Below are 14,739 nucleotides of genomic sequence, written 5' to 3' on the forward strand. Positions count from 1 at the left end.
ACAATGAGACCCAAGATTATATTCCCTCTCACACCACATCAGTGCTGACCCCTCAATCTCTCTATCAATTCCTAGAAGGTGGCGGCAATGTTCCTGAATGTCCCAGCCACTAGCCTTCCTGAAGTTTTATTCACTACCTAGATCTCTTCAAACTCTGAACCTATTTGGTTTAATTATCATACCTGCTCATAGTAACTTCAGTTATATTAATCATTGCTTCTCTAACATGTGCACAACATGTTTCAAGGTGTAAATGACTGATTAAAGTCTGCAGAGATAATTTACTGTGTAAGTAAAATAAGAGCACTTACTTGGGAGTCAGCCAATTACTTCCAGAATCTTTACATGACAAGTATATTTGAAGTCCTGCCAAGCAATTTAACTAGGTGCTTTATAAATACTATCCCAGTTAATTTTGACAATCAAGATAGAAATAAAGTGTTGTATGAGCACATGGGACAACAGCCCTGTAAGGTGATTATTCTCCATATTTTAGCATGAACATTATACTGGTTAAATAACTTGTCCAAGATCACATATCTAGCAAACAAGATTACTAGAGTTCAAATCCAGGTGTAACTGACCTAAAGACGGGTATTCATTACATTATGCTATGTTGGGCCTGTTTCTGCCATTTACTAAAGCCACTTTAAACTGATCCTCAGTGTTCTCATCCAGAAAAAGAAAGGATGTTATCAGTATTCTTATTAGGGGGAAAAAAAGCCAATAGAAGGGCATCTGAAGTGAGAAATTCTCAAAGTTCCCATATGTACACCCAATATGATTCCAGTATGGTCCTCTATCCCATTGTCCCTGGTGCTGTTGAGAATCACTGGCTTTTCTTACCCTATACATGAAGTGGCACATTATTTGAAGGTACACTGTGATAAGTTGAAGCAGCATACGTTAAACCATTTAGTAACCACTGAAAGAGTAAAACATAAAGAAGTAGAGCAATAAGTCAATTAACAACATAAAATGGAATCATAAAAATTATTCAATTAATCCAAGACAAGGCAAGAAAACAGGAAAAAGGAACCAAAGAATAGACAGAAGAAACAAAAAATAAATGGCAACACAGTAGATTTAAATCCAACCGTATTAATAATCACATTAAATAAAATTTAAACACACCAATGAAGAGACAGAGATTGTCAAACCTTATAAAAAACAAAGACAAACAAAATGCTTTCTACAAGAAATGCACTTTAAATATGACACAGATAGATTAAAATTAAAATGATATAAAATATATATAATGCTATATTAATATCAAAGGAAATTTCAAAGCAAGAAATATTACCAGGAATAAGAGGAGTCATTTCATAATGATAAAGGAGCCTGCCTATTCATCAAGAGAATATAACAATCCTAAATGTTTATGTACCTATTGTCAGAACTCCAATATACATAAAACGAAACCTAGTTGATCTGAAAAAGAAATAATAAAATGCAGTATTATTGATGGATATTTTATACCCCTTTTAATGATATAACAAGTAGTAAAGATATAAAAAAATTTGAACAGCATCTATCAATTTGTGCAAACTGACATTTATAGAACATTCTACCCAAAAACAGAATATATACCCTTCTCAAGTACACACAAAACATTTAAGAAGACAGACCATACCTGATCACAAACAAATCTCAATGAATTTTAAAGGACTCAAATCTTACAAAGTAATTTGTATGATCACAAAAGAATTAAGTTAAAAATCAGTAACAAAAATAAAAAGCAAATCAAATATTTGGAAACTGAATAATACATTTCTAACTAACCCATGGGTCAAAGAATTAAAACAGAAGTATTTTGAACTGAAGAAAATGAACACATACTATCATCTGTGAGATGCAGAACCCCCTCAATAAATTTGGGTGAAGAACAAAAGAAAAAGAATTAAATGACTAAACAAATCAACAGTTTTACAAGTGAACAATTTCAGAATTAGGATTAAAGGAAAGGGGATCATAAATTCATAAAATACTAGAACAGGAAGAATTCTAGAAATCCTTCTAAAATTTGTAAACTCACAAAATTCACATAAAAAACAGTTCCGGGAAGAACATATGATTTGCTTAATAAGGTTTATAATAGCAAGTGTTTTTAAATGAGCAGTCTTGGCCAGTAGTGACACTATATAAATATCTGAGTTCTTTAAATGCCTATTTTCACCTAATAAAAGCAGATATAGATTCTACAAAATAGATATGCATATTTGTTGGCCTTTATCTGATTAATGTGAGCATTCTGTGCTTTATTTGTAAATTTTCTATATTTCACATAGCACAATGAATAGGAGTGCTGAATTCTCTATCCACATTGCTTAAATTCATAATCTAGCTTTACCACAGTTGAGTAGCCATGATATTGGGCAAGTTACTTAAGTAGCAATGCCTTAGTTTCTCAACTGTAAAATAAGAATAGACTATAAAATGGTATAAATAGTTCTTACCGCCTTAGAGTGATTATAAAGATTCAACAAGTTACTGCTTTCTGTGGGCTTACAACAGTGCCTGATGCATGGTAAGAGCTCAATAAATGGTAAACATTATTACATAGCATTGATTTATAAATACTTGAAGCTTTTTTGTTTTTGTTTTTTTTTGGAGATGGAGTCTTGCTCTGTCACCCAGGCTGGAGTACAGTGGCACCATCTCAGATCACTGCAACCTCCAGCTCCTGGGTTCAAGCAATTCTCCTACCTCAGCCTCCCAAGTAGCTAGGATTACAGGCACCCACCACCATGCCCAGCTAATTTTTGCGTTTTTAGTAGAGACGGGGTTTCACCAAGTTGGCCAGGCTGGTCTCGAACTCCTGACTTCAGGCGATCCGTCTGCCTTGGCCTCCCAAAGTGCTGGGATTACAGGTGTGAGCCTCTGTGCCCGGCCAAATACTTGAAGCTTATTAATCAAATCACTAATTTAAACGTTTTAAATTAGGTAACATCAATTAAAATAGGATATCATCATAGAAAAATAAGTTGCTTAGAATTCATATTTTTAAAAAGACAAATTATTCAAGTTATTTGAATGCCAATGTTAAAACAAAGCTGGGGCAATCTCTTTTCAAAGCAAGAGACATGATCCAGTGGAAACTTATGTATTACATGGAGTGTTTTTGGATTAACCAATACATTTAATAATATCACATGAGATGATAGAAAAGTTACGTATTAATGTTGTCCTGCTGCCTTCACCTATTTCTTATTATATGCTCCATTCAACCAGAATTTATAGATTTGAATATCTTAATTTTAATTTTGAAGGATAAAACATGTATTTATGAATTTGTTTTAAATGGCTAAAGGGTAACATTCAGCAGTATAGCACTGGAACAATTTCCATTTGGTTTAAAAAAACAACAACATATATGTGGAACACAGTTCACATTTTTTTTATTTTGCGCAACTTCGATGCTTTCAACACTGCATACATTACCAAAAGCACAAAAATAGATGCTGTACTATCAAATTGTAAAGAATACCAAATTGATATAATTATACTTTATAATATCTTCCAAGTATCAAAAGGACAAGTTTTTATTTTTTCTTTAATTAAAATAATCTCATGGGTCTCTTATATGTTTGACAGAATAAGATAAAACAAGTATATTTTTTACTAAGTATCTTAAAAATACCATATTTTAATAAAAACTGCTATTTGTAATCCATGCTCTGTCTTTTTGACACTGAGGCAAACCCTTCTTACCTGGGCCAAATGAGCATGAACCTGAATCAATATGGTAATAAAATACCAAATAAGTCTGTAAAGTATCAACTTATCCTGCTGTACTCTTCTGAGAACTAAGTGCATGATTAAATTTACTGTACCTTTAACAACCTGCAGTTCTCCGTTGGTATCTGCAGGGTATTGCTTCCAGGATCCCCTGAGGATACAAAGATCCATGGATGCTCTAGTCCCTCATATAAAATTCTGTAAATTCTATGTAAATAGTTGTTACACTGTATTTTTCATTTTTTATTAATTATATTTGTACATATGCATGGGGTACATATGAAACTTTGTTATATGTAGAATGTTTAATAATTTTTTATTGTTTTTCACACTCAAATATTTTCAATCCATAATTGGTTGAATCTGCAGATGCAGAACTGGCTCACATGGAAGGCAAACCGTAAAATTCCAACACAACCTCTGCATGTGAGAAATCAATCAGCTTTTTCTCCTCCTCCTACCGCACTCAAAATTGTAAGGCAGTTTGTCATCGTCGCACGTGAAGGCACAGGAGGGAGACTAGCTAAATGTGGCAGAAAGAACGTCGGGGCCCGCAGCACCACTTGTTCCTCAGAACTGCCTCCCAGCCTCCGACCATCCTTCAGTGAGCCAGCGTACATTAAAGCTCTCACCATGTGTGCTGCCTTCTTCCAGATTTTTGCACTGAAGCACACCAGTCAGCAGCTTTCACCACTTGGGAGAATGATCAAGGCCAGGAAAGCACTCATACACAGGCTGAGTACTAACAGGACATTCTACGGTTCATGAAACCAAATGCCCCTACACAGAGGACAGCTGAAATGTGAACACAGAAGCCCAGAGCAACATAAGAAAGCTACAGTAGTTGTGAAGACCAATTGCAGTCATAAATATCACCATCAAATACTTAGCTACAGCTTTACTATTTACAAAATATTTTTACATACATTATTTTATTTGAACCCCACAACAGCCCTTTTAAGAGGTAGTATAGATATTTTTTATTAATAACTGTATTTTGCACATGAAGAAACTGAAAAAGGTTAAGAGACTTGTCTAAGGTCATTTTAAGTAAGCAGTAACTTGACTTCTATCTTCCCCCAAACTAACTGTAGATTTTAGAGTCTTTCAGCTGCATCACCGTATCCCACATAGATAAAAGAAGAGGAGTAAATTTTAAGAGGCAGGTTCCACAGCAAAGTCAGGAATTATTTCTATAAACCCCTGTATCCTTCCATAACTGCCTTCATTCATCACTACTGTTCTTTCCTTTACTTCCTTACCTCCATTCATTCCTGGTTCTTTTCTTCAGATGATCCAAGATGTCAGAAAGCATTCTGTCCATTTAAATCCCTTAGATCCTGATCTGCACAACCAAAGATATCCTTGGGTCAAATCTGAAACCAGCAAATATGGATCTTTCTCATCTGTAAAGTTCTGTGGCTACAACAGAAACTAGCCTAAGGAGTAATGAAATCTGTGGACTCTCAGAGATAAATATTTCTACTATGTGCCAAAAAAAAAAAAAAAAACAAGAAGGCAACAAATAATCAATACAGTATCTCCTGAGGCTCTGGAGTGACTTGTCCCCTGCAGGATGGCCACATTCAGTGACTGAGCCAGAACAAACACTGAGAATAACTATCTAAGCCACAATCAACAGCAAAATAAGATATTAATGAACCTCTAAAGAACTACTCAGATCATCTTGTTAAAGGTTTACAGTACGTTCTGAACTCAAAGCTTACAAAGTCTTGAGGAGCCGGTCAAAACCAAGTGGAGAAAGCTAACAAAAGCAATGGAGAAGAAACCCCTATTGATTAAATGCAACTGTTAGGCAGCATTACTTGTAAAGAGCTGAATATCCTCCTTTCATCTAAAATTTACAGTAAAATAAACTTTATTAAAGAAAAAAGGAACATTTAAATTACCAAACATCCAACTCCATAGAAATAACCCTGGTTAACATCTTCTAGTCTATTTTGTAAAAATATATGACAGAAGGTGCGTGCATTTTTAAAGCAAATACTCTATCTAGTCCTTATTGTTGTACAGAATAGCAGAAGATGAAAACTCTCAGCATTGCAAGTCCTTGACCTATATGAATTCATTTGGTTATCCCATTAACCTGATGACACAGGTAGTATTACTCTGTTTACAGATGGACAAATCAAAGCATGGAGCTCGTTTATTGTCTTTGTAGGTAGAGTTGCTGTGTGACACAGATCACATATGGAAAGTAAGCCCTCATAGACGAATGCTGGCTTCCACTCACATCACCTCTAATATATTTTCTTTCTCTCTGCCCCTCTGGTCTTCTATTCCTAATGCAATGGCACCTAAGAGAGCCTATCACAAAATTACTCTAGCAGGCAATTTCATTCCAACAACAGGATATACAGTTCTGCTGACAGGAATTGATAGGAACTCTGAAGCCAGAGACTGTGCTCTTCTATATTTTCCTGGGGATCATGATAGTGTTGTAAGTGACTCTTCTAAAAAAAAAAAAAATCTAAGGAGGCATTTGGATAAGGAGACCTGATTTGTTCTTCAGAGTAGAAAAGGTACCTAAGGGAAGGCAGGAGCAGCCCTAAAAATTACTAGTATGACAAGAGGCTGGAGAACAAAACTGAACCCATGGGATTTACCTCACGTGAAAACTCTTCAGCTAAATCTTCCTGGCACAAATAGCAATGAACATTATCCCACTCACCCAAAATGAAAACTAGTCTTGTTTCAGCCCAGCAGGGCTGACTCCAGAGTCAACAATGGCTATGTTCTACATTCCCAAACTGACCCTGAAACAAACTTGGGCTTTGTGTTGCTGTTGTTGGTAATGGTGGTGGTAATGGTGGAAGTTCACATGTGTGTGTATTTTAAAAGAGAAGAGATGACCTAAAGTCAAACACAGAAACACTGTGGCTATTCCACCCTGGCATGGGGTAGATCTGCCCAACCTTACAAGATTATTTTGAATTGTTAGACAAAGCAAAGGAGAAACCCTTCTGCCTTATTAGAAGCAACTCTTTTCTACCTTTGATGCTACTGGGAATCAAAGATCTTTTAAGTGATTTACAGATCAAATTCAACAACTTGAATCATTCAATATGCCAGTTAAGAAGACTCCAAAATAAGTCAGGCTTATTATTTTACAGTTTTGTCCAATTTAGCTACTAGCTTGAATGGTAAATAATATATATAATCAAGAGAAAATATGGTATTCAAAAAATGTGCACTGACTGAACACCTGTACTATGTAAGATATCTGCTATATATAAGACACTGGGGTTCAGGAGGTTTTATAAAAATAAATGGATTCAGAAGGAGAAATGTATTTCAGAAATGTAATTTCTATATAATTACAGTAGGATTGCCTATCTGGACTGTGACAATGGAGCTATATTTAAAAAAATAATTAAAAACCTCTATAAAAATAGTACTTTTGTCAAGAAAATAAAGATCTATGTGAAAACTGACAACCTTGGGAAGATAAAAGACAAAAAATAAGTTATTTCCTTATTGTAGAACTATCCTACTGTTTAGTCCGACTAAATGCAGATTCCTGATGACTACAGGCTTCTTCCTTAATATCAATTTAACACTATCCAAACATATGCTGAGAATTCTATTCAACTTTAAAACAATGAGTAGATACAGAGCAACTGGAGCTCTCTGTGAAGGAAGGAATGTTTTCAAACGGTACAACCACTTCAGGAAGCACTTTGAAAGGTGCTTCTGAAGTCAAACATATAGTAACCATATGACCCAATATTCCACTCCTAAGTATTGATCTAACAAAAATGAAGACATTTGTCTAAACAAAGACTTACAAAGATTCATAGAAACTTTGTTCATAATAGCTAAAACTGAAAACCAAATATACATCAAGAGGTGAATGGACAAACTGTAGTATACTCCTAAAATGAAATACTACTCTGGAATAAAAAGAACTATTCATATGCTATTCATACACATAGCACATGAGTGAGTCTCAACATTGGGCTGAGCAAAAGAAACCAGACACAAGAGTACATAATGCTTTATTAATCCATTTATGTGAAATTCTAGAAAACAGAAATCTCATCTAGAGAGACAGAAAGTAGATCAGCAGATCAGTGTTTGCCTGGGGCTGGGGATGGGTACAAGGGAGCTTCGGGAAGTATAAAAATGTTCTACAACTTGATTATGGTGGTGGTTACATAGATATAAATTTTAAAAACTCAACTCAACATTTTTTAAAAGGGTATATTTCATTTTATGTATTATATATTTTCATATATATATATATATATATATATATATATATATCTTAAGGTAATTTTTAAAAAGAACAAAATCTTAGAATATATTTAAAACAAGAAGGCCAGGCGCGGTGGCTCACGCCTGTAATCCCAGCACTCTGGGAGGCCGAGGCGGGGGGACCACAAGGTCAGGAGATCGAGACCATCCCGGCTAACATGGTGAAACCCCGTCTGTACTAAAAATACAAAAAATTAGCCGGGCGTGGTGGCAGGTGCCTGTAGTCCCAGCTACTCGGGAGGCTGAGGCAGGAGAATGACGTGAACCCGGGAGGTGGAGCTTGCAGTGAGCTGAGATCGCGCCACTACACTCCAGCCTGGGCGACAGAGGGAGACTCCTTCTCAAAAAAAAAAGAAGAAGAACTAGGAGGCTGTCCCTGGTGAACTTCAGGTACAAAATCACTTCAATTTCATTTTGTCCAAATATCACCTCAATGAGAAAAAAATTTAAATACCCAGAGATGTCTGTGAAAAATGTTCAGTAGGGCATCATCTTCCCACATTTGGGAATAGCAACAGTAGAGTCACTGTAATTACATAATTGACTTTTTTTTTTTTTTTTTTTTTTTTTTTTTTTGAGACGGAGTCTCGCTCTGTCGCCCAGGCTGGAGTGCAGTGGCGCGATCTCGACTCACTGCAAGCTCCGCCTCCCGGGTTCACGCCATTCTCCTGCCTCAGCCTCCCGAGTAGCTGGGACTACAGGCGCCCGCCACCGCGCCCGGATAATTTTTGTATTTTTAGTAGAGACGGGGCTTCACCGTGTTAGCCGGGATGGTCTCGATCTCCTGACCTCGTGCTCCGCCCGCCTCGGCCTCCCAAAGTGCTGGGATTACAGGCGTGAGCCACCGCGCCCGGCCCATAATTGACTGTCTTAATAATTAAAAAAGAAACTATGTATTCAGTTTTTATAATACAGAAATGGCAAATACAAGCTATTTTCATGCTCTGCAATTCCATAATTTTTCATCTATAATTGGTATATCTCTAAAATTATACATATATAATACATATAGATCGAATTCACATCCTGAGATTTTCTCACAAAAAGAATAATACTAGTCTCAAGATAAAAACTTCAAGTGGCGATGAGAGTTTAGGGCTTGTTTTAGAGAGTAGGATGCCTTAATAAGAAATGATTTTTTGTTGGCCAGGCACAGTGGTTCATACCTGTAATCCCAGCACTTTGGGAGAGCAAGGCAGGTAGATCACTTGAGCTCAGGAGTTCAAGACCAGCCTGGGCAACAGGCAAAACCCTGTCTCTACAAAAAATCTAAAAATTTTAAAACTTAGCCAGGCATGGTGGCCCACATCTGTGGTCCCAGCTACTTGGGAGGCTAAAGTGGGAAGATGCGTTAAGTCCAGGAGGCAGAGGTTGAGTGAGCCATGATCACACACCACTGCCCGCCAGCCTGGCAACACAATGAGACCGTGTCTCAGAAAAGAAAAGAAAATTTGTTTTTGTTTAATGATTCCCTACTACGTGGCAAAAACAAACAAACTAGAAATGTGGTAGGATAAAAGTGTCAAAGGCCTTGTGATCAGAGGTAAATTTTATATATCTGTATGGTCATGTATTTTCTCCAATGAGCCTGCATTACTTTTATGATTTGAAAAACATTGTTCTTTAGTTTTAAATAGACCCACAGATTCAGCAAAACCTTATGATTCAACATTTTAAAATGTATAAAATAGCCCTATCTTCTCTGTACCATATCGTTCCCCATGTGAAACAAAGTTAGCTGCTTCTTCCTGAATAATGTGGAACACATAGAACCCCCTGAAATAACGATTAGATATTTCAGCTGTTTAATGTGGCACATTATAGTATATTCATACTGCTTGGGGTTTACTGAACTTACTGGATGTATAAGTCAATGTATTCTTAATCAAAAATGGAAAATTTTCAACAATTATTTCTTAAATACTTTTCATTCCCCATTTTCATGCTCTTCACCTCTGTAATTGCAATTATACATATACTAGACCATGAGGTATTGTACCTTAGGTCCCTGAATCTCTGTTCATTTTTCTTTAATTTTCTTCTAAGTTAATCAGATTGAATAAATTTCACTGATATGCATCAAGTTGAATGATATTTCTTAATAGCATGTTGGAGATCGTAAAACAAATTTTTAATTAGTTATTGTTCTTTTCAGTTCTTGAATTTTCACTTAGCTTTTCATACACAGTAGAATTTATTAAAACAAACCAAAAAAACCCATCATTCAATTATTTTGGAATAATGATCTTTTTTAAATATACTATACGATTGGATTTACTTATATTTTATTTACAACTTTTATACCATGTTTATGAACAACGTTTCTGTTTTTACTTTTAAGCACAAAAGACAGTTTATTGGCTCATTTAACTGAAAAATTCAGTCATAATTCCATCTATGTTTATAAATGAGTGATTTTTTTAACTGACGTATTCATGAGGTACACAGTGATGTTTCAATACATATAATGTATGATGATCGGGTCAGTGTAATTAGCATATCCATCATCTCAAATACCTATCTTTTTTTTTTTTTTGTATTACAAACATCCAATACCCTTCTTCTGGCTATCTGAAACTATAAATAATTGATAACTATAGTCATCCTACAGTGGTATAGAACAAGGGTCCCCAACCCCTCAACTGTCTGTGGAACCCACCCAGGTACCAGTCCATGGACTGTTAGGAAACAGACCACACAGCAGGAGGTGAGCAAGAGGTGAGCAGGAGGTGAGCAGCAGGTGAGCCAGTGAAGCTTCATCTCTATTTACAGCCACTCCCCATTGCCCACATTACTGCCTGAGCTCTGCCTCCTGTCAGAGCAGCGGCAGCATTCGATTCTCATAGGAATGCAAACCCTGTTGTGAACTGCCCATGCGAGGGATCTAGGTTGCATGTTTCTTATGAGAATCTAATGCCTGATGATCTGTCACTGTCTCCTGTCACCCCCAGATGGGACTGTCTAGCTGGAGGGAAACAAACTCAGGGCTCCCACTGATTCTACATTATGATGAGTAGATAATTATTTCATTATATATTACAATGTAATAATCATAGAAATAAAGCACACAATAAATGTAATGTATTTGAATCATTCCTCCACCCCCTAGTCCATGTTAAAATTGTCTTCCATAAAACCGGTCCCTGGTGCCAAAAAGGTTGGGGACCACTGGTATAGAACACTAGTAGTTTCCATTTCTCTGCCAAGATTTCTAACCCGTTTACTCATTAAGACCACAATTTGTTTGTTTAAGTCCTTTTATTGGTATGCATACATGAGCCTTTTTCAGCTAAACTCAACAACTAGGCCATCTCAAGGTCTACTGCTATTGACTTTATTTTGACTATTGGTCATACTTTTCCTTTTTCTTTTGCACGTGCAGTAACTTATTATATACTATACTATATAATAAATATATAATACAATATAATATATAAATAAAATATATATATAATACTATATATATATTTTATTATATAATACTATATATAAATATATATTGTATTACATAATAATACAATATATAAATATATATTGTATTACATAATACTATATATAAATATATATTGTTATTATATAATAATACAATATATATAAATATATATTGTTATATAATAATACAATATATAAATATATATTGTTATATAATAATACAATATATAAATATATATTGTTATATAATAATACAATATATAAATATATATTGTTACTATATAAATAATACAATGCAGAGAACATGGATTCTGCTATGATCCTCTGAAGAATGGTAATCTTTGTTCTCAGGCAGTATAATTACTGTCTAAACACCCTGAATTTGTTTATGTTTTGTTAGGATGAATTTGAGAAAATCCCAAGGTGTTTCTCAAGCTCCTCTCTTTTGGCAGAATTAAACTTGGGACACAGCTCCAACATCTACCAGAAACCTGTACCATATCTTTTCATTCTCAGATCCATAGCAGGAACTCTCTGGTAAGCCCACAGTTTGACTTGCCATATGTGCAGTTCATCACTCAGCCATGACTTGAAGGGAACCCATATTCAGAATTCTGGATCCCCATTTCTGTGCAGCCTTCACCCTTCTGGTGCCCCGCTCCAGATTCCAGCTGCTTCAACAGGCCTAGATTCTGGTCTCTGCCTTCTCAGCTCAGAGGTGCCACTGTTTCTGCTTGGACTCCAAGTCCTTGTTACATAGTCAGGAAAATGTCCCTAGGCAGAAATGCAGAGCAAATGTGGGGCTCTTTTTATGTATCTGCCTTCTCTCAATAATCACAGTCTTGCACTGTCTGTTGTCCAACATGTGAAAAGTTGCCTCATATATTTTGTTCAGTTTTATCACTGTTTATGGCAGAAGAATCAATCCAGCATCAAGGTATTACATCAAGGCATTACATCAAGGCAAGTAGCAAAAGCTCTTGCACACATTACTTTAAACTGTTCTTATTCTCTCTCACTCTTTCAATTTCTATTTCTCCTCTTTTCTCCCCATCCCCAACTTGTATAATTTATCAGCTTGAGTTGAATGAATAGGTAGCGCTAAATAATTTTGATAGAATATCTCAGAACTTTAAGATCTTATAATGATGATGGAACACTTTGAAAGTATTCACAATATCACAAGTTTTGTAGAGTTTCTGAAGTTAAGTAAAAACGTTTAAAATTTATTTTATAAAGTCTTTCTTCCCATACTTTTCCTTTTTCATGAACAAGCAAAATATCAGCAATACTCTGCTACCATGCTGTCCTTCATAACCCTTACTTTGCTTATTTTTATTCAAGTCAAAATAAAAAGAATAGAAAATTCAGAAAATCTCAAATGATCTGAATTCTCATTTCCCAATTTTTGAAGTTAGTCTGATCTCACTGCCACACAACCAACAGAATATAAAGGTCTTTCTAGCTATATTTAAAGACTGTGGAAACCTATCTGTCCCCAAACTACAACAGATTTAAATGACAAAGTAAATAAAAGAAAGTTTTTTAAAAATTTAAAACATTTACATGAAATGAATAGTTCCACAAATAAAGCGTATTTTTGCCAAGGATGAGTTTCTCAATTGTTCTAGATACTAGATATTCTCATTCAAACAAATGCTTAGAGATAGACAGGGCTAAATTACCCATTAGGCACAGTGCCAAGGGCCCATAATACTCTCTAATACTCTCTAGGGCCCCAAAAACGTTTTAATTTCTTTAAAACATTTCTTTTTAATTTTTAGTTACTCTTTTTTTTTTTTTTTGAGACGGAGTCTCGCTGTGTCTCCCAGGCTGGAGTGCGGTGGCGCGATCTCGGCTCACTGCAAGCTCCGCCTCCCGGGTTCATGCCATTCTCCTGCCTCAGCCTCCCAAGTAGCTGGGACTACAGGCGCCCGCCAACACGTCCGGCTAATTTTTTGTATTTTTAGTAGAAACGGGGTTTCACCGTGTTAGCCAAGATGGTCTCGATCTCCTGACCTCGTGATCCGCCCGTCTCGGCCTCCCAAAGTGCTGGGATTACAGGCGTGAGCCACCGCGCCCGGCCAATTTTTAGTTATTCTTATGATTAACTAAAAATTTAGGTTAAAGAAAATGTTTAATATGTAATCTTAATATATACCAATACTATATATATAATATACAAATATATATAATATAATATAATTGTGTGTGTCTGTGGAGATAGACATAAATTGACAACTATTTTCGGATTTTCTAGAAACCTCAGTTTCTCATAAAACCTGAACACTGTCTGATTGTAGGATGTGAAGCCCCAGGTATTTTTCCACTGGACTAGATAAGGCATTTTTCCCTCTAGGCTCCTGGAGGTGCTAATCTCATCCTAACCCATTTCCGTCTTATATTCTGGCTTGCCTGAACTACATTCACTTGCAAAGTATTTGGGCAGGCCGATAATTAAAAGATAGTGACTCAGTGGTACTCTGGGTAGCTACACATCTCCATGCCCTCTTTTAATTTACTATATAGCAGATGTATCTTAGCGGCTGCTATACATCTGCTTTACATTTGCTTTAAACAATAGAGAGATGGACTTGATATCTCCCTATTTCAAAGCCCTCAATCTCTTTGAAGCAGCCCACAAAGTAACAGGTTTCTGTCTAAGCAGTGGCTTCCAACCCACGGCCCACTTGCAGAGCCAAGATAATAATCCCATTGACAACTCTTAAAGTCTCAAACCTTAGTTGACTTAGGTTACCAGGTTCACTGAGGTTCCCAAGTTTTCTTAGTTACTTATCAGTCATAGCTGTTCAAGCAAGTGATTTCTGTATTCAAATCATCAGTGTCATAACAGAAATACTCTTTGTATTCAGAGTGACCAATATAATTTTCAACGAGAAAAGGGTATGTAAGAGAATAAAATGATGTTTTGAAAGACTTTCAAAAGAAATCTTACATGTAAATCTAATACTCAGGATAATTAATAGCAGAGTGTTCTAGGTTAAAGCCTGGAATGAAAGATGGATAGCATGCTAGGCTGTAACCATCAATCTCCTTAAATCTCTTTGATTGAGTAAATTTTAATCAGCTTAATTAGAAAGCATAGATCCCAGTTAGTTCCAGCTCTACTACTGTTGTACTCACTGGCAAAACACTTTTGCTTTAATTTTAGTATCAGTTTCCTCAGAAATAAGATAGAGATATAAACATAAGTCTTAGCAATCTTCAAAATACCATTACCATCAAATGAACATTTGTGCCTCAAAGGCACTTGGTAAAATTTTTTTAGAG

At 35.8% G+C, this 14,739-nt stretch overlaps 1 protein-coding gene across 30 annotated transcripts in view; it reads right to left on the reverse strand.

Annotated features, from left to right (window-relative positions):
- RFX3 (regulatory factor X3) overlaps window positions 1–14,739 on the reverse strand; it is a 307,705-nt gene that overhangs the window by 197,491 nt on the left and 95,475 nt on the right. For 2 of the 30 annotated variants that reach the window (XM_047423696.1, XM_024447632.2), the window contains exon 2: window positions 5,001–5,083. The exons of 26 other annotated variants lie outside the window; for them this stretch is intronic. In XM_047423696.1, the coding sequence (XP_047279652.1) occupies window positions 5,001–5,010 (10 nt within the window). In that variant the 5' untranslated portion in view covers window positions 5,011–5,083. Of the gene's footprint in view, window positions 1–5,000; window positions 7,960–14,739 lie in introns of those variants that run through there. 2 more of the 30 variants (XM_047423700.1, XM_047423690.1) reach the window with 1 other exon arrangement.

The sequence above is a fragment of the Homo sapiens genome, chromosome 9 (genome assembly GCF_000001405.40).
Source record: "Homo sapiens chromosome 9, GRCh38.p14 Primary Assembly".
NCBI classification, from domain to species: Eukaryota; Metazoa; Chordata; class Mammalia; order Primates; family Hominidae; genus Homo; species Homo sapiens.